This window comes from Homo sapiens, chromosome 9, assembly GCF_000001405.40.
Source record: "Homo sapiens chromosome 9, GRCh38.p14 Primary Assembly".
NCBI lineage: Eukaryota > Metazoa > Chordata > Mammalia > Primates > Hominidae > Homo > Homo sapiens.
In genome coordinates this window covers 64,413,967-64,438,393 of record NC_000009.12, presented here as the reverse complement: position 1 = coordinate 64,438,393, position 24,427 = coordinate 64,413,967, and the positions used below count along the sequence as shown (strand labels likewise).

General features: G+C 38.2%; 1 long non-coding RNA gene and 1 pseudogene across 1 annotated transcript in view; both read right to left on the bottom strand.

The window, feature by feature from the left end:
• ANKRD20A4-ANKRD20A20P (ANKRD20A4-ANKRD20A20P readthrough) overlaps positions 1-24,427 on the bottom strand; it is a 99,849-nt gene that overhangs the window by 30,849 nt on the left and 44,573 nt on the right. The window contains exons 17-24 of the long non-coding RNA NR_146419.1: positions 18,048-18,177; positions 10,503-10,784; positions 9,695-9,906; positions 7,563-7,785; positions 4,090-4,135; positions 2,870-2,923; positions 1,951-2,069; positions 246-416 (exon numbers count right to left, since the gene is read on the bottom strand). This is a non-coding gene — a long non-coding RNA (ANKRD20A4-ANKRD20A20P readthrough). The remainder of the gene's footprint in view (positions 1-245; positions 417-1,950; positions 2,070-2,869; positions 2,924-4,089; positions 4,136-7,562; positions 7,786-9,694; positions 9,907-10,502; positions 10,785-18,047; positions 18,178-24,427) is intronic.
• Positions 2,235-20,284, bottom strand: ANKRD20A20P (ankyrin repeat domain 20 family member A20, pseudogene; annotated as a pseudogene).

The window sequence follows — 24,427 nt, the reverse complement described above, 5'->3', positions numbered from 1 at the left end:
TCATGGAGCTGGACTGGGCCTGGGTGAGAGGGCCTGATGGGGTTGTCCTGGGTAATCACGGGGGTGATCAGAAAAGATGCAGAATGGAATTGCTGCGAGGATGAACGAGATGACTGTCAGCACAGAATAGGCATCCGGTGAGTGTTCAGGGATTACCCTCAGTAGCTGCTCAGAGGCCAAAACCACCCAACTGATAGCGACTGTCCCCAAGCTAGGAGGAAGAGAAGAGAGCAGGTCCCACTCACCTGAGTCTGATCAGTCAGCTGTGTTGAGATGTGCCTCTCACCTAGAAAACGGTCCTTCACACAGAGCCACTCAGACACCACAGTGTGTCTCTAACTGCTCCACAACACAGAGGCGATGGGGGCTCAGCAACAGTGACATTGTGGGGTGACACAACCCACCACAATGGGAGCCTGCATGGGTCAACAGGGCCCAGAGTCAGTGTCCTCTATCCCCTGAACTGACATGTGTGGATGAAGTGTGTTTGTGCATGCGTGTGTGTGTGCACATATGTGTGTGTGTGTTTCTCTTGCTTCTCTGGCCAGGCCTAGCTTCTCCACTCACAGGTGCACCCAGGTCATCACCGAGGGCTCATGGCCAGCATTAGAGCTTCTACAGGTGCTCCCCAATCTCTGCCTTCCCCACCCATGGTGGTCCTGGGGATGCAGAGAGAGGAGGGGCACCAAGGCACAGCAGAGAGGGCTGGCACCCCCTCTAGGTGGCACACAGGTCATGTGTAAAGTTGTAGGTCTGCCAAGTGGTGCTGGATTCAACACATCTTCTCACCTTCTCTTTCCAGCCACCCTCCAAGGTGCCCTGACTCACCTTCCCTGCAGATGGAGGCAAGGAGACTCCACAGACAAACCCCCTGCCTGAGGTCACACAGTGGCCAGCTGGCCAGGTTCCTACTGACCAGCCGCCCAGGACCAGTTTCCCACTGATGAGGCCTCTAATGACCACTCCTCCATTTACCAGTTCCCACTGACCAAGTCCCCACTGACCATGTCTTCCTAACCAGGCTCACACTTAATAGGCCTCATAGGCCAGACCTCACTGACCAATTTCCCACTGACCTGGTCCCCACTGACCAGGTTCCCACTGACAAGACCACAGTTGACCAGGTCGCTGCTCACCTGACCCCCACTAAACAATTTTCCATGGATCAGTCCCCAGCTGACCAAGCCCCCTCTGACCAGGCCCTCACTGACGAGGCTCCAAGCCACTAAGGCCCCACACTGACCAGGCCCCTAGTATACTGCATAGGCCCCACCAACCAGTTTTTCATTGTTTATGTTCCAGCCCATCAGGCCTCACTAAGAAGACCATCAGTGACCAGGTCCCCATGAACCGGGCTTCCAATGACTAGGTCACCAGGTCCCCACTGAGGAGGCGTTTACTGAGGAGGCCACCACTAACCAGGTCCCAACTGACTAGGTCCTGATGACCAGGTCATCTCTGAGCATGGTCCACTGACCAGGCCCCTGAGCAGCGTGCTCAAAGTCTCATTACAATGCCCCCCTCAGCCCACAGACCCTCCCTCCCTGTATGTGTGTCCAGAGGTCAGGCCCTGGGGTTTTTTTTGGGACATGGCTTTTCCTCCAAGACAGAGGGAGAGACAGCTGGCCTCAGGCTCCAGGTGCCCAGCTCCACACTCACCCCAAAAGCCCTCTGGGCCAATCTCAAAGGAGATAGTGAGGTGGCCTGGCACTGCCTGGACATGCCATGTAGCCTATTCCTGAGTGTCAGAGTGGGAGGAAGGCAGGGACATTTGGCAGATGAGACATCTTGTGCTGTTGGGCATCCCAGGGCCCTTCCCACAGAGTCCCGATCTACAGACACAGCACAGAGGCTACAGGAAGACTAATGCAGGACCCTTGAGGCTGAGCCAGGGACCACATGAGGACTGTGCCCAGACAGCCAGAAGGCCCTTTGCTAGTTTCTTGATACCTCATGGATGCGGCAGCGGTTGTTCTGTTGGGGACCAGTGATCACGTGCTGGGGAGGGCTCGCCTGTGCTTCCTCAGTGGCTCCACCTCTGCTTCTAAGAAAAATCACTCATTCCATGGCTGGAGCAGAGAAAATACAACATTAGCTTAGAACATCTTGTTCCTGAAACTAAAAAAGTGCTGACAGAGTAACGAAGACAAATAAAAAAGACAAGAAGTCAGCTTGAAATGTCTACCACTGGCCTAATCTTGGGGAATTGGAGCACCAGAATCATGAGCTTTCCCTTCTCAGTTATTTATTGGTTTTACTTCTCCATGTACAGCAAAGAAGAGAAGAAAATAATCATCTGGAAACCATCATAGTAATAATTGTTCAAACACAAGTCATCCATGAAATGCTAAATCTAGTGGGTTCTGGGAGTAACTGGATATTTACAGAGCCTCAAAGTATCTCCCCACAAAATACGGTTCAACTACAAAAAGAAAATTGTCACATTAGCATGGACAAGCCTGGCAGGTACTCCTTAACTCCCCTAAGTAGTAAAAGCTGTAAAATGCAAAGAAGCCTTCGATGACCTTTACTAAAGTATCAATGATGACTTGGTTCTTTGGCTGTTTAAACAGCTGGCATTTGGGCAATTTGAGTACGTCAAACTCAATAATACTGGTGTTCATTTGCAAGATCCACTTAAAACTTAAGGAGGCTAAAAAACATCATTTAAATTACCCTATAAATTATCATCACACATGTGATACAAAAACATCCTACTTCAGTAAAGATTGTAATGTTATATATTTTATGAGAAACAATTAAAATGTTGTGTAAACAGCCCAGTAATAAAGTTTTATAATCTTTTAAATAATAAAATTTTTCCTTAAGACTTTATGGTTAAACATTCTCTTCATTAGATGTGGCTTACCAGTGGATTATAGAGAAGTAAGTAGACGGGAGCAAGTGTTCAACACAGCAACAACTGGAAAGAGAAAGAATTATGTTCTTTACCTAAAACATTTCAGTTAACTAAATGTGAGTTTAAATACTAAAGAGTTGAGAACTTTATCAGAGTTAGTAAGAATGAGAAATATCTATGTACATTTACAATACAAAATTACTATTAAATAATTTACACATGGCATTAATTCCATTGTGTTTAAATATCAGAGGTTTTTCATTCTTCATTCATGTAATCAACAGCCACGTGCTAAGGTACTAGAACCAGCACTGGAATTCCAAGATGAAGATGGCATGGTCCACCTCCCAATAGTCATATGCTATAACCTAAAAACACAGACAGGTAGGCAATGTCCACATAGTGTCATAGATACCATGACAGGTATACAGCAGGGCACTACTGGAACACACAAAAGGGACATCTATCCCACTTTTATGTCAATATCATGGGCTTTCTGGTGGAGGAGATAACATAGGTTGATACCTGAAGGACAAGGAAAAGCTTGCCAGATAGAGGGAAGAGGCGAAGGCAAAGAGCCTGAGGTGAGGAAGAGCCCTGCGGAGTTCTACTCTCCTCCACTTTGGTGCTAGAGCAAAGGGTAGAGTGCGGTAAGTGGCAAAAAACAAGGCTGAGTAACTTGACAAGAATCACATTGACGTGGGTGTTTTTATTTCATGGTGAAAATTTTGGAACTTTTCCTGAGAACAGATGTAAGCCAATGACACAGTAAATGATAGGAGATTTAAAATGTCACCTGTCAAGTGACTGCTTATGAAGGGTTATTGCCCAGCTAAGGATTTCAAAATGAGTCTGAGGTCTGTTGGCCTTCAATCTGTACCAAAACCCTGAGAACTTGGTGATGCCTTTGTTTTCTGAGAATTGTTTCAGTGTGCTGGCTGACAGTTCCATGATGATGGCAAAACTTAAGAAAGTGTAGAGCCAGTAAAAAACAGATGCACAGACTTCTTGGGAATTTTTTAAGCTATGGAACATGATGAATTTATGGTGCATAAGTACAGTCTTCTCTGTGAAAGTTTTTGTTTTCACATCTTGCATTAAATGTGTCTAAGAAAAAAAATACTTGACATAGTATCTACTAACCAAACAATGAAAAGGAATGCCATTTGTTATTTACACTTAATTTCTAAAATAAACCTAAATGTAATTAATAAATTTTGGCAACATACTTCTCTTTGTTTCTCTAGTTATTTGTTCTACACAGTCCAGCTCCATCTAAAATAAGTAAAAATAATAATAATGTTTAAGTTAAACAAGAAACATTATCATGCAAATAATGTATCACTTACAAAATGTGACCTTTAGTATTTTTAGTGACTAGACATAACTTGAAGTTTGCTTAAATAGAAAAATAATCACATAAATAAAGTAAAATTTCTACTTATTTTAAGTTTAGATAACAGAGGACACACCTGTGTAATGCTGTTTAGAGTAATCAGACAAAAATACAGTTAATATTGGTCTACTGCATATACATGATTTTAGAAAGGTAGTGTTTTATTAGTACAAAGGTTAAACAATGGCCAGGTGTGGTGACTCATGCCTGTAATCCCAGCACTTGGGGAGGCCAAGGCAGGCAGATCATGAGGTCAGGAGATCGAGACCATCCTGGCCAACATGGGGAAACCCTGTCTCTATTAAAAATACAAAAATTAGCTGGGCATGGTGGTGCACAATTGTAGTCCCAGCTACTCAGGAGGCTAAGGCAGGAGAATTGCTTGAAGCCAGGAGGTGGAGGTTGCAGTGAGCCAAGATTGCACCACTGCACTCCAGCCTGGTGATACAGTGAGACCTTGTCTCAAAAAAAAAAAAAAAAAAATTAAATAATTAAAGTCATCTTTTCAATGAATGCATTGCTTTGAAATTCTTAGCAAAACTCTGCCCTTTATACAAGTTTAATCCAATTTTTTTACATCAATAAATTTTATCTTAAAATTTCTATTCTCTACTTATAGTAAACTTTTTTAATAGTAAATTTTTCTTGTTTTTTTTTTTGTTTGTTTGTTTTTTTCTAGTTTGTATTCTAAATTAAGGTGGTACCTGTGTAGGCTTCTTCCAAGAGAATATTGAGGGATGCCAAGGTTTGGAGTACAGTGGAACCCATCACACAGGTAGTAAGCATAGGACCCAATAAGTAGTTTTCCAACCCTGGCCCACTCTGTCCCTCCCTGTTCTTATTTCCCAGTGTCTATTGTTCCCAGGTTTATGACAATGTGCACCCAATGTGTAGCTCCCACATAAGTGAAAACATGAGATATTTGGTTTCTGTTTCTGTGTTAGTTTGCTTAGGATAGTGGATTCCAGCTGTATCCATGTTGCTGCAAAGGACATGATTTTGTTCTTTTCTTGGCTGCATAGTATTCCATGGTATGTATGGAACATTCCAATCTACCTTGGATTTTCAATCTGCTTTGGATGCACCTGGATTGACTCCATGTCTTTGCTGCTTTGAATAGTGCTGCAATGAACACACATGTGCAAGCATCTTTTTATTAAAATGATTTATTGTCCTTTAGGTATACCCCTAGTATAGTAATGGGATTGCTGCATCCAACGGTCATCCTTAGTTCTTAATTTCCAAACTGCTCTCCATAGTAGCTGAATTAATTTACATTGCCACAAACGGTGTGTGTTCCCTTTTCTCCACTGCTTCCCCAACATCTTTTTTTTTTTCTTTTTACTTTTCAACAAAAGTTATTCTGACTGGTGTGAAATAGTATCTCACTGATGTTTTGTTTGGCACTTTTCTGATGATTAACAATGGTAAGCATTTGTTAATATGTTTGTTGGCCACTTACATGTGTTATTTTGAGAAGTGTCTGTTCATGTCCTTTTCCCATTTTTAATGGTGTTATTTATTTTTTGCTTGTTGATTTGTTTAGATCTCCTATGGATTCTGGATAATAGGTGTTTGCTGTATCCATAGTTTGTGAATATTTTCTTCCATTCTCTACGCTGTCTGTTTAATCCTGTGATAGTTTCTCATGCTGTGCAGAAGCTCTTTAGCTTAATTAGATCATACTTGTCAATTTTTGTTATTCTTGCAATTGCTTTTGAGGACTTTGCCATAAATTAATTGAGAAGTATGAAGTCCAGAAGAGTATTTCCTAGGTTTTCTTCCAGGATTTTTATAGTCAGAGGATGTACTCTTATGTAAGAAAAGCACAAACCTTTTTTTTTTTTTTTTTTTTTTGAGACAGAGTCTCCATCACATAGGCTATAGTGCAGTGGTATGATCTTGGTTCACTGCAACCTCTGTCTCCTGGGTTCAAGTGACTCTCCCGCCTCAGCCTCCCAAGTATCTGAGATTACACATGCCTGCCAACATGCCTTGCTAATTTTTGTATTTTTAGTAGAGATGGGTTTCATCATGTTGGCCAGGCTGGTCTCAAACTCCTGACCTCAGGTGATCCACCTGCCTCGGCCTCCCAAAATGTTGGGATTGTAAGTGTGAGCCACGGCACCTGGCCAAGCACAAAGCTTTGAACATAAAAATGGAAATGAACATTTTAGTGTTTTGTTTAATTCATAAAATGCAATTATTTTGGATTCTACTAAATAATAAACATCTATATGTGGCAAACTGTTTGGATGCCAATCATTCAGTTGTGATTATGGGTGGGAAGAGTTGAGATGGTGCAAATAAACTTTTTTTTAAATTTTTTATATTCAAGATGAAGTCTCACCCTGTCACTCAGGCTGGAGTTCAGTGGCACGATCTCGGCTCACTGCAACCTCCGCCTCCTGGGTTCAAGCAATTCTCTGCCTCAGCCTCCCTAGTAGCTGGGATTACAGGTGCTCTCCACCACACCTGGCTAATTTTTTTTTTCTACTTTTTGTACTTTCACCATCTTGGCCAGGCTGGTCTTGAACTCCTGACATTGTGACACACCTGCCTCAGCCTCCCGAAGTGCTGGGATTACAGACATGAGCCACCACACCTGGCTGGTGCAAAGAAACTTTAAAAGTGACATGGGCTGGACGTGGTAGCTCATGCCTGTTATCCCAGCACTTTGGGAGGCTGAGGCAGGCAGATCACAAGGTCAGGAGTTTGAGAACAGCCTGGCCAATATGGTGAAACCCTGTCTCTACTAAAAATACAAACATTAGCTGGGTGTAATGGCAGGTGCCTGTAGTCTCAGCTACTTGGGAGGCTGAGGCAGGAAAATCGCTTGAACCTGGGAGGTGGAGGTTGCAGTGAGCCAAGATGGTGCCACAACACTCCAGCCTGGGCAATAGAGTGAAACACTGTCTCAATTAAAAAAAAAGGGGGGCAGTATGAACCACAGCTAAACTATAATCAATTAGAGAGTAAGCCAAAGCATCTCAAACTATATCATCAGTTATCAGGCAATAATATGCAATTTCTAAAACCTAACTTAAATGCAGCTTTTAAAGACATTTTAAATGTGTCAGTTTAGTCACATTTATGGAATAAAGTTAGTAAACGGGTATCTCTTGAAAATGAGAGCTCCAGGGAATTAAAAAATGTAAAGTTCCCATTTCCTTTCTGTGTTAACACAGCTAATTATGATCTTTACTAAACATGCATAAGTCAACAGAATTCAGTATTTCACCAAATTAAAAACAAGAATTATATTAGAGAAATGAAACCCAAAAGAGAAATGGTCATGTAACTAACCACAGTCTAGGAGTTCTTGCAGTTATTTGAAGTCTGTGGGCTTGAAATAGGAATTCTTATGGGTGTTTGGGGAATATATTTTCTGTTGAGTCCTATACTAGTAAGATTTTCAACACAAGGTGACTCTGGGTCTCGCCTTGTAGGAAGAGCACTGAGAAAATATTTCATCTGCTCTTTCTCCATGAGGAGCTTCATGCTAATCACTGCTATTTTCTTATTTGATCTGTAAAGATAGCAAAAACACACGCTTAGTATTTCATTTTTCCTCTAATGATTCTTAATGACTTACAGTTTTTAAAAACTTGCCCTGAGAGCAAACCAAATTATCCACTAAACAGTGTTTTCACACTGAAGATGTGTGAGAGCATACCTGTTGTAAGCAAGTATAATTTTAAAATCATTCTAAAGAAGCACCTGTGTTTCTAAGGTGATTTATACTGAACAAGCAGCACAAACAAAGTAGACAGGGAAGAGAAATGGCTATCAGCGATATATGGCTCGACAGGTAACACTTGCTGCCTTCTAAAAGGGCTCTACTTGTGAGATTCTGAAGATTCCATTAGAAATACTCATATTTAAAGGGTAACAATGTGAGAAAAGAATATGTTGATTTGCTTGATTATAAGAACCACTTCACTAGAAATAATTGTATCAAAACATCATGTTGTACTCCTTAATGTAGGTTAAGAAAACTAAAATGAACAACAACAAAAAAATTTAGGAATACTTGTGTTTAGCAAACAAATTTTAGGTTTCACCCTTGTGCATTTCACCCATTATCTAGGAACAATTAAGCATTTGGCACTGAGGAATAATTCAGAACAACAACTCCTGGGGGAGAACTAGATTGGCTGGTTGGTGATCAAAAAGAACTAAAGCATGTCTGAAGGCAATTAGCCCCCAGCACTGTGACCAAGGCACTGGAGGTGGGGCTTTTTCCTTCTGCCTTCCACACACCCCTTCAGGCTGAACAAGTTTTTTTTTTTTTATACTTTAAGTTTTAGGGTACATGTGCACAACGTGCAGGTTAGTTACATATGTATGCCTGTGCCATGTTGGTGTGCTGCACCCAGTAACTCATCATTTAACATTAGGTATATCTCCAAATGTTATCCCTCCCCCATCCCCCCACCCCACGACAGGCCCCCCGGTGTGTGATGTTCCCCCCTTCCTGTGTCCATGTGTTCTCATTGTTCAATTCCCACCTATGAGTGAGAACATACAGTGTTTGGTTTTTTGTCCTTGCGATAGTTTGCTGAGAATGATGGTTTCCAGCTCCATCCATGTCCCTACAAAGGACATGAACTCATTATTTGTTATGGCTGCATAGTATTCCATGGTGTATATGTGCCACATTTCCTTAATCCAGTCTATCATTATTGGATATTTGTGTTGCTTCCAAGTCTTTGCTATTGTGAATAGTGCTGCAATAAACATACGTGTGCATGTGTCTTTATAGCAGCATGGTTTATAATCCTTTGGGTATACACCCAGTAATGGGATTGCTGGGTCAAATGGTATTTCTAGTTATGTTTTAACCACTTTGTGAATTACACTTCTTTAAATTCCTTGATAATTATTCCCTATTTCACAAGGATGCCTTTCTGTAACATCTTGAAAATGTTACACAAATAGTCTTTCTTGAGGCACCCTCTAGTGATAATACTAAAGATCACAATCAAAAATGATTGTGCCCAGAGTAGCAGTACCACTTGAAACTTTGGGTTTAGGTTGTGATCTACCAAAAAATAAATTAAACTCATTAATATTTCTATTTAGGAAAATTCTGACAAGCAATTTTATAACAAGATCACATTATTAATTATAAAGCTTCGAAAGTACTTAGTGACAAAAACTAACAGATCAGGTTAACTACATGAGACTTTTCAGGGGAAAAAAGTCATACAAAAGCAAAAAAAAAAAGAGAGAGAGAGAGAAAGAAATGGGACAGAAACTATCCTTGACTAACATTTTAAAGGTAAGATTATTTACTAACATTATTTTCTGAAATTACATTATTAGATTAGCATTCACTTCCTACTAATCTCCTGAAGCCATCTCACTAAAAATTATGCTTTCAAAACAAATTAATGAGCTTAATTCATTTTCTATGAGTGTATGTTTCGACTTACTTTGTTAACTTTTTTGACATGGAATTGTTAGCTTTCAATGCTGCTGCAAAGGCTTCCTTATATTCTTCTAATTCGGTTGTAACCTCTTCATAAGCAGTTTTCATTTCTGAGAATTTACATTCCACATCTTTAAGTGTGAGTTCCTTTTTATTTAGTGAAGCCATATTATCCTTGTTTAACTGCTCTAATTGTTTTTCATATTGTGCTTGTTCCTAAAACAAAGGAAAAGAATACACTTTTAAAACAATTATAACCTAATTATTATATGTTTGTTGCCTTTCATTTTGAGTCAGTGATTCAAAGAGCAATTGTGAATATGTTAGTAAAAGAGGCTGAAGCTTAAAATATTTATCAGCAAGATCAAAACTAATAACTGAATTTAGAATTGTCTGATTTATAAAAATTTGAAATCATAATTATGTTAGTATTAATGTAATCTGGTCATATAAAAAGTAATAGAATCCATTCATAATTTTAAAAAGTGATTAATGAACAATGTAGCTTAAGACCAATTCAAAAGTATCACATAATTTTGAAATCACAATTGTTTCTTATGCCAACTGATCTTAATCATCAAATGACTCCACAGTGAGAATCATTACTCTGAAAGATTGATTTTGTTATAATAATAATGGAAATGTAAATATTTAAAAGAAAAAACAGATGCCATTTTTTTTCTAGAACTCTACAAAGCAAATTGCTACAAGAGAGGCAGAGGAAACATAATATATACATATCCAAAATATAATTTGTGGTGAAATAAATGAAAGCACATTACAGATAAACTTACCTGATTTAAAAAACTAACCTGTAAATGGATTTCTTCTAATTTTTCTACTGCCTGCATTGCCTTTTCATCTAGCTCCAATTTATATTCTTGTAGTTTACTAATTTCTACCCTATTGTTTTCCATATGTGTCTTAAGATTTAATATTTCTTCTTTCAACATCTTTTTATCCTCCTCAAGTTTTTCACATTGCTGTTGTACTTTTTTCATAGATAAAAACTCCTGTTGAAGAACTTGATTGTCTTTAGCCAAATTGACACATTTTGAAGATAAAGCTTCCTTCTGTGCTGTAAGATCATCAAACTGCATGAATAAAATAATATAGCTTGATAATGAAGTAGGCTGAGAATAATCTAATACAAAACCAATAGCAAATTTTGAAATGCATTTACTTGCAATAAAATGTTATCTGTAATGCAGTGGATTCTTCAAATGTGAACCCTTAAATTACTCAGAATTTTAAGAACAAAGTTAAAGCTACCATGAGTCACAAAAATATATTATTTGCTATCATCATCTTTGCCACAGAACTTTTGCACTTCATCTTACTTTTATTTTTCTGATAATTCATTTTTGTTCCTCCTTAGATGGCACTAAGTTATCTCTTAGTAAAAAGTGTCTAACCACCTTCCCTCATTATCATTCCCCATAATATGTCAAAAAAAAAGTTTCAGAGATATCATATTGAGTTATTTAGGCCAAAGTCAATAAATGGCTCTCAGAATAAGACTTTGAAAATAATATAACACTCTATACTAGGCATGGTGGCTCATTCCTGTAATTGTAGCAATTTAAAAGCCTGTGCCAGAATGATCACTTGAGGCCAGAATTTGAGATCAGCCAGAGCAACATAGTGAGACCCCCATGTCTACAAAATTTTTTTTTTAAATTAGCTGGGCATGGTGGCTCATGCCTGTAGACCCAGCTAGTTGGGAGACTGAGGCAAAAGGATGGCTTGTACCCAGAGTTCAGGGCTGCAGTGAATTATGACCACATCACCGCACTTCTGCCTGGATGACAGACAAAGACCATATCTCAAAAAAACACAAAATAATGAATCCTGTAAATAAGGATTCTGATGCCATAAGCCTTTCCTTAAACTGCAAATGTTTCATGCTAATTTGAATTGCATTTTAAGAAGTAATGATTCTTGGGGTAAAGGCCATAGAATACACACCCAGAAATAAATCCACATATTTACAGCCAACTGATTTTGGACAAAGGTGCCAAGAACATACACTGGGGAAAGGACAGTCTCTTCAAATGAATGGCACTGGGAAAACTAAATATCCATATGGAGAAGAATGATACTAGCTTCCTATGTAACAGCACATAATGAAATAAACTCAGAATTGATTGAAGACTGACATTTAAGGCCTAAAATTATGAAACCACTCTAAGTAAATGGAGGAAAAATGCTTGAGGACATTAGTCTGCACAAAGATTTTTATGGGTAAGACATCAGAAGCATAGGCAAAAACCAAGTGATAGACAAATGGTATTACATTAAGATAAAGAGCTTCTGCCCAGCAAACTGAGTGAAGAGAAAACCAGTGGAATGGGAGAAAATATTGTCAACTATTCATCTAATAAGGGACTAGTATCCAAAATATACAAGAAACTCAAAAAACTTGACAGTAAAAAAAAATCTGAGTTCAAAATTGGGCAAAATATCTAACTATACTTTTCTTTAGAAAAAAGAAATACAAATAGCCAATAAATAAATTTAAAAACGCTCAGTATCACTAATCCTCAGGGAAATAAAAATCAAATCTTCAATGTGATACAATCTTGCTTCAATTTGAATAAATTGCTATCATTGAAAAGACAAAAAAATAACATATGCTGGTGAGGTTCCAGAGAACAGTAAACTCTAACATGCTGTTGGTGGGAAGGTAAATTAGTGCAGCCACTATAGAAAACAACATGAGGTTTTCTCAAAAAGCTAATAATGGGACTGCCAAGGGATCCGGCAAACCCACTATTGGGTATTCAGGCAATAGAAAAGAAAACAATAGATCAAAAAGATACCTGTACTCGTATGTTTATTGTAGCACTATTCACAATAGCTGATGTATGGAATCAACCTGCATGTCCATAACCAAATGAATGGACAAAAAACTGTGGCACACAAACACAGTAGAATACTATTCACCGTATAAAGGAATTCAATCCTGTTATTCGTGGCCATGTGGATCAGTCTGAGGGATGGTATGTTAAGTGCAGACACAGAAAGATAAACACTGCACATTCTCACTCATATGTGGGAGCTAAAGAAAAACTGAGGGCTGGGCAACATGGCTATTGCCTGTAATTTCCTAGCACTTTGAAAGACCAAGGCAGGAGAATCACTTGAGGCCAAAGTTCCAGAGCACCCTGGACAACATAGGTAGATAGCTCTACAAAGTCAAAAATCAGACAGGTGCAATGGTGCATGCCCATAATCCTAGCTGCTCAGGAGGGTGAGGTCAGAGGATCACATGAGCCCAAGAGTTTGAGGCTGCAGTGAGCTATGATCAAGCCACTGTCTCTAGTCTGGGTGACTACAGATGCCCAGAGCCCAGACTGGACTAGCAAGGCCCTGTCTCTTAACAACAACAAAAAAGCTCACAGAGGTAGGGGAGGGGAGGATGTTAATGGATACCGAATTACAGTTAGATAAGAGGAATGAGTTCTGGTGTTCTGTGGCATTGTAGGGTGAATATGGTTAACTATGATTTATTGTATATTTTTAAAAAGGCAGAAGATTTTGAATGTTCACAATTCAAAAAATGAAAAATGGTTGAAGTAGTAAATGTGCTAGTTAGCTCGATCATTACACACTATATATATATGTATCAAAATATCACTCTATTGGCCAAAATTATGTATATACATGTCAATTAAAACAAAAGAGAAGCTATATTTATCCCATTAAAAAAACAGAATATGGGCAATCCTTACTGACTTCCTTCTAATGAATAGAATGCAGTAAAAGGGATATCATGTGGCTTCCCTATCTCAGACTGCTTTCCCTTTGAACTCAGCCCCCAGATTGTGAGTGAGATCAGGCCAGAGAGACAGCCTGGGAGTGTCAGTGTCAATATTCATGCTGCCTGCTCCAACCAAGGTTCCAGCCAATGGCCAGCATCAACCATCAAACACATGGGTGAGCAAAGCTTCAGAGGATTCCATTTCCCCAACTGATAAGCTATTCCTAGGGAAGCTGAGGGGAGCAGAGATGACCTGTCCTGGCTAAGCTTTTTTCAAACCACAGGTTCATGAACAAAATAAATGTTTTTCTTTTAAGCCACAAAACCCTGGATAATTGTTAGAAAAATAAGTTTTAAAAAGAGACAACAGGAAACATAACTTATGCAGAGAAAAGAGTCTCCTTTAAAGTAGGATCTAATAAATGTTGAGATTAATTTATTGATGACAAACATTATTGAGAAGCAGTAGATAACCAGGAGAGAGACATAAGCTGCTGAGGAGGAACATTTCCTAAAACCCCCTTCAATTATGAACTCTGATAACAAGACAAGGGTGTCTCCTTACAATTTCCCCTCAAGTTAGGAAATAAGACTGCAAAGAAAGAAGAAGTATGATTTGAAAAACAACTAGAAATACTTGGTTAGATAACCAAAATCAGACATTTGCCTGATTTCAGTTAATGAAAATTCTAAAAGAATAAGCTTTGAGTATTTATTAATCAATCTAGTATTCAATTTTCATTTTCCTTTTCTCAATGAGGAAATAAGGAGAACATTATGGAATGATTTTTAGTCTTCACAGAAGTAAAATAAGCACAATATGCTTTGAGTGTTAAGACATCAAATGCAATTTCTCCTTTATCTTACTTCAAGCTTGTTTGTATGGAGAAGTTAAGACCATCCCATCTCTGTATTATACCACAATGCTTCTCTACAGCACACAACTTGGCTCCGAAATTTCAAAAGTCAAAATACTAATCTACTATTTGTCTCTGATAAATTGCCTGAACATTACCTGATTTTGAAGTGCTGCACTCCTAAGACTTTTTCTTGGAATGAGTTAAACTTTATATCCCAAGAATCCTCTACTGAGCTAGAAAGCAGAGCTGTGCATCTCTGTTTCAGTAAAAGGAGGTCAATACAGGGAACTGTGGTTTCTGAGAATGCAAGATCTGCACCAAGTAAAGGATTAGATGCAGAGCTACCCAAGAGAACCAGCTACCAGGTGGAGAGGATCTGCGAACTACAACATGATGATTTCACATGATTTCCACTGAGGAAAGCTGGCAGCTCAGACTTCTCCTTCCTGGATGGTAAACATCTATGGAAGATTCTATGAATTATAATGAGTTAACAAAACATAATACACTAAATATTAGACTACATCAGCAGATCCTGTGATGAAAACTTACTGAAAATATAACTATAGAGGGAGGCAATGGAAAAGAGACTAAAGGTTTGAATAGAGAAAAAAAGAAAGAGTGTCTTGTAAGCCTGACTTGCCATCATGTCTTAGAGTAAGTAAGGTATAAGCTGGCCAGAGATTCCTTTGAGGCACAAAAGGTGAAGTTAAAGATATTCCACTAAATTTAATTTTTATTATGATATAAGACAACTGGTAATATGCAACATGCTTGAAAAAATCTTCTCATTAAATTCAATTTGGCCTTGGCATAAGAATAGATATAAACAAACTAAGAATTGATAATCTACAAATAAACCTGCACATTTACAGTCAATTGATTTTATACAAGGTTAACAAAAGAACAGAATGGGAAAAGAATAGTCTTTTCAACAAATGGTGCTGCGACAACTGGATATCCACATGCAAAAAATAAATAAAGTACGAAGAAAACCCTGGCATAAATCTTTGTGACTGCATTTGGCAGTGTTTTCTTAGCTATGACTCCAAAGGAAAAATGGATTCAATGAACTTCAAAATTGAAAACTGCTGTGCTTGAGAAGACAGTATCAAGAAGTGAAAAGGTAAGATACTGAGTAGAAGAAAGTATTTGAAAAGCATGTATCTGATAAGGGACTTACATATGTAGGATATATAAAGAACCTTTGCAATTCATAAATAACAAGATAACCCAATTTAAAAAATGGGCAAAGATTTTGAATAGATATATTTGCAAAGAAGATATAAAGATGGATAATAAGCACATTAATAGATGCTTAATGTAATTAGTCATTAGGAAAAAGTAAATCAAAACCACGTGTGGTATCACTTCACACCACAGGATGAAACCTTTATTCAATAAAAAAGAGAAAATAAGTGTTAGGAAAAATGTAAAGAAATTAAAGCCCTTATCCAATGCTGCTGGGGATGTAAAGTGGTGCAGCCACTTTGGAAAACAAACTGGCAGCTCCTCAAAAGGTTAAGCATGAAGTTACCACACGACCCAGAAATTCCAGTCATGAGTATATACTCCAGAAAATCAAAAACATATGCAAGCACAAAAATTCATACATAAATGTTTACAGCAGCATTATTAGTAAGAGTGAAAAGTGGAAAGAACCAAAATGTCCATCACCTTTGGGTGGGAAAGAACCCAAAGGTCCATCACCTGGTGAATGGATAAATAAACTGTTTGATGTATCCATACAATGGAATATCACTCAGCAATAAGAAGAAACTAAGTACTGATACTGTATTAGGAGGAGACAGCAAAATGCCTAGGCAGATAAGGAAGGGTCCCCGGAGAATCCCCAACAAGCCTCACAAGTGTTTACACCAGACGTTATGTGCAGATAAGGGAACCTGGACTTGTCTTGCCTGGACATGCCGGCAGCAGACCCGAGGCCCACAAGCACTGGGGAGATGGGGTGGAGTCACCAGGAATTCACGCCTTATGCAGAGCAGGAGCCTGGCCGCTTCAGCTCCTGTGCTCCTGGTATTCAGTTGAGAGGTGGAAACCTGTTTGCAGGACGCCCCTCTTTGCTGAGAGCTTTCCTTTCACTTAATAAATTCTGTCCTCCTCACCCTTCAATGTGTCTGTGTGCTTAATTTTTCCTGGTCATGAGAGAAGAACCCAGATTGAGCTGAACTAAGGAGCAAAAACCCTGCATCAATACCTGCTGCAGCACAGATGCAGCATGGAAAATTATGCTAAGTGAAATGAGCCAGTCACAGTAGACCACTTGCTTTTCATTTCAGAGGCTTATAGGCAAATCTATAAAAGAAGGTGGGTGGTTACCTAGGGCTGAGGGAGGAAGGGAAAACTAGTGAAGATAGCTAAATGATGTGGGGTTTGTTTTTAGGGTGATGAAAATGTTCTACAATTGATTGTAATGATGACTGCATAACTCTCTGAAAATACTGAAGTTAATAAATTGTATATTTTAAATGAGTGAATTGCATGGTGTGTTCATTATTTCTCAATAAACCTGTTACCCCCACCCCAAATTAATTTGGTACTAGTGATTTTGGTAGTAGTGATCTGGAGACAGGTACTGCTTGGTTTCAGATCACTGGCCAGGGTTCAAGGCCTAAGAGAATCAACAGCATGTCCTTTTCATAGAAAAAGAGATTGATATTTTAAAAGCTATCCTTTTCATTAGTTTCAAGTCTGTAAAATTAAATGAAAAATCTTTCACTGCTTAAAGCACTGACAGATTTATATTGAGGAATAAGACCTTGTTTTCCTTGGCCCCAATTTCTATCTAAAGGGTCTGGGAATCACACCCTTCAAACTATCAAATCTCATCAGATGGGTTTTATTAACTCTTATAATGTGGCTTCCTTTCTAACCTGATTCTGGTGCAGCATCACAGAGAGAAGAAGCTGAAGGAAATCAAAATATTTTACCCCCAAATATATTTTTTTGTCATATTTTGAAATGGCTGCTGCAGGGCCAAGAGATTGAAATGGCCCTCATTAACGTAGCCCAATCTCTCCCCTTCTAGTTCTTCCCAGATCTGGGGAAGATTAACTAAGAGCCTGAGGCATTTAAAGTCTGAAAAGATATATTTACCCTCTATTTTCTCAACATATTTTGGCAGAATTTGGGTTTTTCCATTATCAATATTTTCCAAAATTACATGATTTTTAATACCAAAACTGATCTAAAATTACCATACGTTGGAATATAAATTATTCTATTATAAAGATACATGCATTTGTATGTTCATTGCAGCACTATTCACAACAGTAAAGCCATGGAATCAACCCAGATGTCCATCAGTGATAGACGGGATAAAGAAAATGTGGTACATATACACCATGGAATACTATGGAGCCATAAAAATGAATGAGATCATGTTTTTGCAGGGATATGGATGAGCTCAAAGCTGATATCTTCAGCAAACTAATGCAGGAAGAAAAAAACAAACACTGCATCTTCTCACTTAGAAGTGGGAGCTGAATGATGAGAACACATGGACTCGGGGAGGGGAACAACAAACACTGGGGCCTGTTAGGATCAGGAGGGAGAGCATCAAGATCAATAGCTAATGCCTGCAGGGCTTAATATCTAGGTGATGGATTGATAGGTGCAGCAAACCAACATGACACACGTTTACCTATATAACAAACCTGCACGTCTCACACATGTAATCTAGACCTTAAGATAAAATATTTTTTTTAAATTACCTTCTGTTTTAGCTTCTTAATCAGAATATCCATTTTCAGTTGATCTGTTTTTAAGTCTCCATGGCAATCAAAGTCTTCATTTCCAAATACATTTAACATATTTATTGTCATTTCCAGGAGTTTCTTATATCTGCAGAAATGTACAGAATTAGTAAGTCAAGTATTTTTAAGAGTAAATATTTAATAATTGTTTAAACATCTGTTATGGCATATCAAAGAAACAAATCTATAAACTATGTTACTTTCAGTTTCAACTGAACATAGTTTGAAAGCATTCTATATGAAATTATAATCTTAGATAAATAATATGAAGAATAATTTTATGGAATATAGGGCAGGTAAAGTGATATTATAGCCATACAGTGTTTTTGTTTTGTTTTTTGTTTTGTTTTGAGATGGAATTTCACTCTTGTTGCCCAGGCCAAAGTGCAATGGTGTGGTCTCAGCTCACTGCAACCTCTGCCTCCTGGACTCAAGTGATTCACCTGTCTCAGCCTCCCAAGTGGCTGGGATTACAGGTGTGTACCACCATGCCTGGCTCATTTTGTATTTTTAGTAGAGACGGGGTTTCACTGGTCAGACTGGTCTTGAACTCTTGACCTCAAATGATCCACCCACATTGGCCTCCCAAAGTGCTGGGATTACAGGTGTGAGCCACCACACCTGGCCTAACCATACACTTTTTGTAAATAAACTACTCATATCCATGTTGGTATGCTAAGTAAAATAACGTGTTACTAAATATAAGCCATAACCCAGAGATGAGTAACCAAGATAAAAAAGTAAAACACATACATTTAAAAAGACACAAAAGTACATTTTGATACCCACTGACCACAGTCTATCAGAAGAAAAAAAAGTACACACAAAAAGCATCAAGGAGATCATTCAATGTAGAAAAAGAGAAGAAAACATCTTTAATATCTGAGTTGAGGAGAAAAAGGATACAGGCAGTTTTAGAAAAAAGGAAAGGGGCAGAGAGATGTGTGACAATTTAGAGACTTTGAAGAAGAGATCTAGACATCTTTGCTGACATAATGTCAACAAAATGAAAGAGATACAAAACCATGTAGAGAAAAGCAATGACAGAAAAATGTTGATTCTAATCAGAAAACCAAATTAAGTGCTCAGTAAATAAATAGAAAAGTAGCTGTGTTCAGGGCTTCAAAGACAGATTCCATTGTTTTAAAAAAAATCTGTGATCAAAACATGAATGTTCATTTTACTTTTTCTTTAAGTTATACATATATTTTTATATATATGAAATTTATTTATGTAAAACAAGTTTAATAACATGTATACTTCATGTATACAACAGAGGTACTCATGTACAATGAGTAAATTTCCACGTTTTATATCTAAAAGAAAAAGCAGAAACAAAATATAAGCTACATATCAAGATAAATTTGATGTTAAAGAATGACACAAACAGGTCTTCTTTAAACAATTTGAATGCAGCAGAGGATACTAAAAAAGGAAGAAAAAATGACCACAGACAGCAAAAAATATCTTCAGAAATAAAAATTCAAACCAGATAATGAAGAGTGCACTGGACAGTATATGTCCAAGGCGTGGTCATTGTTTTCAAAATCATTAAAGAATAAGTGGCCGGGCATGGTGGCTCATGTCACTTTGGGAGGCCGAGGCGGGCAGATCACGAGGTCAGGAATTCGAGACCAGCCTGACCAACTTGGCAAAACCCCGTCTCTAATAAAAATACAAAAATTAGCCGGGTGTGGTGGCACATGCCTGTAATGCCAGCTACTCAGGAGGCTGAGGCAGGAAAATTGCTTGGAGGCATAGGTTGCAGTGAGCCAAGACCGCGCCATTGTACTCCAGTCTGGGAAACAAAGCCAGACTTTTTCTCAAAAAAAAAAAAAAAAAAGAATATTTTGGCATTCAAAAAAAATTTCACCTTGCCCCAGCAGCTCAGCTGACTCCCACCCCCATGACACACGTCTAAAAAGTTGTGCTGTGAGTTTCTGAAATACATTTTAAAATAGAATTCATTTAATTATGAAAATGCAAACATAAAATGAATTTGTATCTAGGTTTTAGTCAAGTAAAATTAGAGTTAAATCAATTAATAAATGGCTAACATGTTCTACAATATGAAAACCATACCCAGTTGCCTCTTCTTCTAATTCATCATTTTTCTTTCTTATTCGATTCACATTATATTTCAGTGATGATATTAACTCAAAAAGTTTTCTTAATTCTTCATTTTCTTTTTTAGGCTTAAAAAAAGTGTTTAAAATTATTTTTGTAAAATCTGGAAACCCTCATCTCAAAAATATTATTTCTCATAAGTGGATTAGTAATACGTATTTATGCAGGTGTATAAAGTGCATTTTATAAACCTGACGCCAATAAGGTCAGATTTCAATAATAGTCACTTTTCTTAAAACTGCTAAAAATGATTCAAATTTTCATCATTATCTTTTCTGAAATTTAAACTGCCAACAATGTTTGTTACAAATGAGGGTTTTTACACACAAAATACTAAGGGTTAGTTTAAAAAAAAGAGTAGTTATATTTACATTTTAGTTTTTAAAGATGCTCTAGAAATATTGTTTTTAACAGTTTAAGATATTCCAAGTTTTCTTAAATTACATCTTACTAAGACAAATTTTAGAAAACTCTTATCTAGTTCCCATTACATTTTTCATCCTCATCTGTCTTCAGGCTGAGCTAAATACTGTCATTCTAAGTATTCACCCACAGGTTTCAGTTTTTCCCTTTCTCTTAACCATTTCTCTTTAAATAAAGTTTATCTTTTCTACAATAAACAAAAACAACTTTCGTCTACTTTTTGTGGCTTTTCTATTATCCTGTTTCTCCCCTTCCATTGGACTCTATGACACATGGTCTCATTCAGAAATCTTTTTTCATCAATTATTGTGTTTTTTATACTGAAATCTGATTTTTAATAATTCCAATAAAAAAGTCCAACGGTCATGAAGGACTTTACCCTGCTTTACTCAGCAGAGCAGTGACCAAATGCTCCCTCTGCTCCTCTGACCCCGCCTCCTTTCTAAATGCAGCAACCTCTGTTCTTCAGCCCTATACTTTTCTGGTTTTTTGTTTTGTTTTTGTTTTTTGTTTTGAGATGGAGTCTCCCACTGTCACCCAGGTTGGAGTGCAGTGGCATGATCTCGGCTCACCGCAACCTCCACCTCCTGGATTCAAGCGATTCTCCTGCCTCAGCCTCCCAAGTAGCTAGGATTACAGGCATGTGCTACCACACCCAGCTAATTTTTTGTATTCTTAGTAGAGACGGGGTTTCACTATGTTGGTCAGACTGGTCTTGAACTCCTGACCTCATGATCTGCCTGCCTTGGCCTCCCAAAGTGCTGGGATTACGGGTGTGGCCACCACGCCCGGCGGCTATTTCGCTTTTTAAATTCTCTCAGGACTCCTAAAATCTCAAAACTTTGACCTAGATTCCCTAATCTACATTTCCAGCTCTGACCTTTTTCTTGAGGTCTCTTCCTTCTAGTACACATATTATAGACAATATTCTCCACCACATGCTCATACATTGCTACTTGGTGCAGATTACTTTTGTAGATAGTGAATCTTGTCTATTTTATGTTGGTTCTTATTGATGTTACTTTGAGTATACTGTTATTTTCTAATCTCAAAGGGGGACTATCTCACTGTTACGATACTAACCAGTATACTTTGTCCTTTTTTTCATTCTTTCTTCTTTTTTGGACCAATATACTTTGTCCTTTTCTTTTTTTGAGATGGAGTCACACTGTGTCATCCAGGCTGGATGCAGTAAGCCATCTCAGCTTACTGCAACTTCTACCTCCTGGGTTCAAGTGATTCTCCTGCCTCTGCCTCGCAAGTAGCTGGGACTACAGGTGCACACCACCACGCCTGGCTAATTTTTGTATTTTCAGTAGAGACAGGGTTTCACCATGTTGGCCAGGCTGTTTTTGAACTCCTGACCTCAGGTTATCCACCCCTCTCAGCCTCCCAAAGTGTTGGGATTACAGATGTGAGCCATGGAACCCAGCCCTCTTTTTCTTTGATAATGAAAACTTTCCCATGAAAATCAGATTATCAATTGTTTGCCTTTGTTTTCTTTTAAATAATTTCCTTTTCCATAGAGATATGGCATGATGAACATCTTGTTCTAAAGTTCCTTTTGGGGGACACTCAACTATGTCATCGGGAAGCTTCAGTAAGTAGAGATCTCCCTTCTTCCCATTCAAGATTCTTCATCTCAAAATGGTGTCTACCAAATGTCTTAATCCAGGTAGTCCCTTGCTTAGAAATTCATGAAATAAGAACCTTCTGGAGAAGTTAGAGGCTATTGATTGAGATGGTTTAAAGCTGCCCCTTATTATGTGTTTTACTCCCAAGGCAGACATCAAAGCGGCTAATAATTCTATGCCTGATGTCTAACTCACTTCTATGGGAATCTATACAACATGTTTTATTTATGAGACAGAGTCTCCTTCTGCTACCTAGGCTGGAGTGCAGTGGCTTGATCACTGCTCACTGCAGCCTCAATATTCCAAGCTCAAACGACCCTCCTACCACAGCCTCCCAATGTAGCTGGGACTACAGGCATGCACCACCATGCCTCAGCTAAGTGTTTAAAAAAAATTTTTTTTTTTTAGAGACAGAGTCTCACTATATTGCTCTGGCTGGTCTCAAACTCCTGGGCTCAAGCAATCCTCCTGCCTCAGCCTTCCAAAACCAGGTGTTTAACTGGGGACTAACATGAAGCACTTAGAAGACTACATGGAACATAGTGAGCTACATAAAATATTTGCTATTAGCATAATAATTTTATTGTATATCTTAACAAAATTGTGTATTTTACGCAGGTGGCATGCCAATGGAAGTAGTCTCCTATAGCTGCACTGAATCATTCTTAACACTGAGAGTTGCAGCAAATGGGGGACATAATTTATAACTTACTTTTCTCTCTGTATGACTCATTAGGCAATGACTGTGTATGTACTACAATGTAAATAGCACCTCCTGGATGGAATAGTACGTAACTGACATGACCAGCAGAGACAGGCTAAAGACACTGAGCTGAAAACCCTGGACTCTATTGCTAAGTCAAGGCTCCTGAATCCGTTCCCTCTGAGCAACTGTTGCTGTGGTGCTGCCTTCACAAGCACTCTGCTGAGCACTCAGATTGAGGGGCTGTGCTATCCTTCATCAGACAAGCTGCAACCAGAACTGTTCAGCTGACAGACTGGGAGCAGTCCAGAAACACAGTAATGGCTGCATAGTGAAAAAAGGCCAATTTATATTCTTTTTCATAGAGAGAAAAACATAAACACGTGATTGAACGCATCTCCTGTGTTAGACTAATTGGGTTAGATTTGATATTTAATTGCTAAAACTATATTTAGAATATAACCTTACTGTGTCAAGGTCTCAAGGAAGAAATAATTGGTATGGTATAAATGATTGAATTGTATGCTACAAACTTCTAAGCTAAAATATTTTCAATGTATGCAAGGATAGGTGGCATACACATTATATATTATTCCCCCATTAAGCAAATTTATAATGAGAGAAAATTATCTTCCATAAAAAAATAAAAGCCATGTAAAATTAAGGACTAAGTTTTTCAGCACAGACTAGACAACGATTGCTAACACATAAGGTCAATGACAGAACAGTCAGAGAAAGCTTCATGAAAACAAAAAAATTGTCTGCCAGGTCTGAATGAATGAGGCTAGATGAACAGAAACTGAGAAGGCAGAAAGAATAGCATGAGCAAGACAAGTGCTGAAATCTGCCCAATTAACTCTGAGGATAAAGTCCAATGGCAGGGAAATAAAAACCCGTGTCCACATAATAACCTGTAAGTGAATGTTCACAGCAGCATTTTTCATAATAGCTAAAAAGTGGAAACTAACCTAAAGGTCCATCAACTGATGAACGAATGGAAAACCAGTATAGCCATGGAATAGAATATCATTTAACTATAAGAAGAAATAAACTACGAATGTGTGCTAAAACATGCATGAATTCTGAAAACATTATGCTAAGTGAAAAAGCCAGTCACAAAGGACTACATATTGTATAACTCTATGTATATGAAATATGCAGAACAGGCAAACATATGGAGACAAAAGTAGATGGTGGTTGCCTACAACAGGGGTAGGTGGAGGGACATGGAGGAAGGCTGCAGTCATGCCTAGGAGATGTGGGGTCACTTTTCAGGGTGACGAAAATGCTGTGAACATACTAATAGACACTGAGTTGTACATTTTAAATGGTTGAACTGCCTGATATGTGAATGACATCTCAGTGAATCTTTTTAAAATCCAAAGGCAGGATCAAGATAATTTTCTCAACTCTTAATTTTTGATGTACATGCTATATAAAATCTAAATATT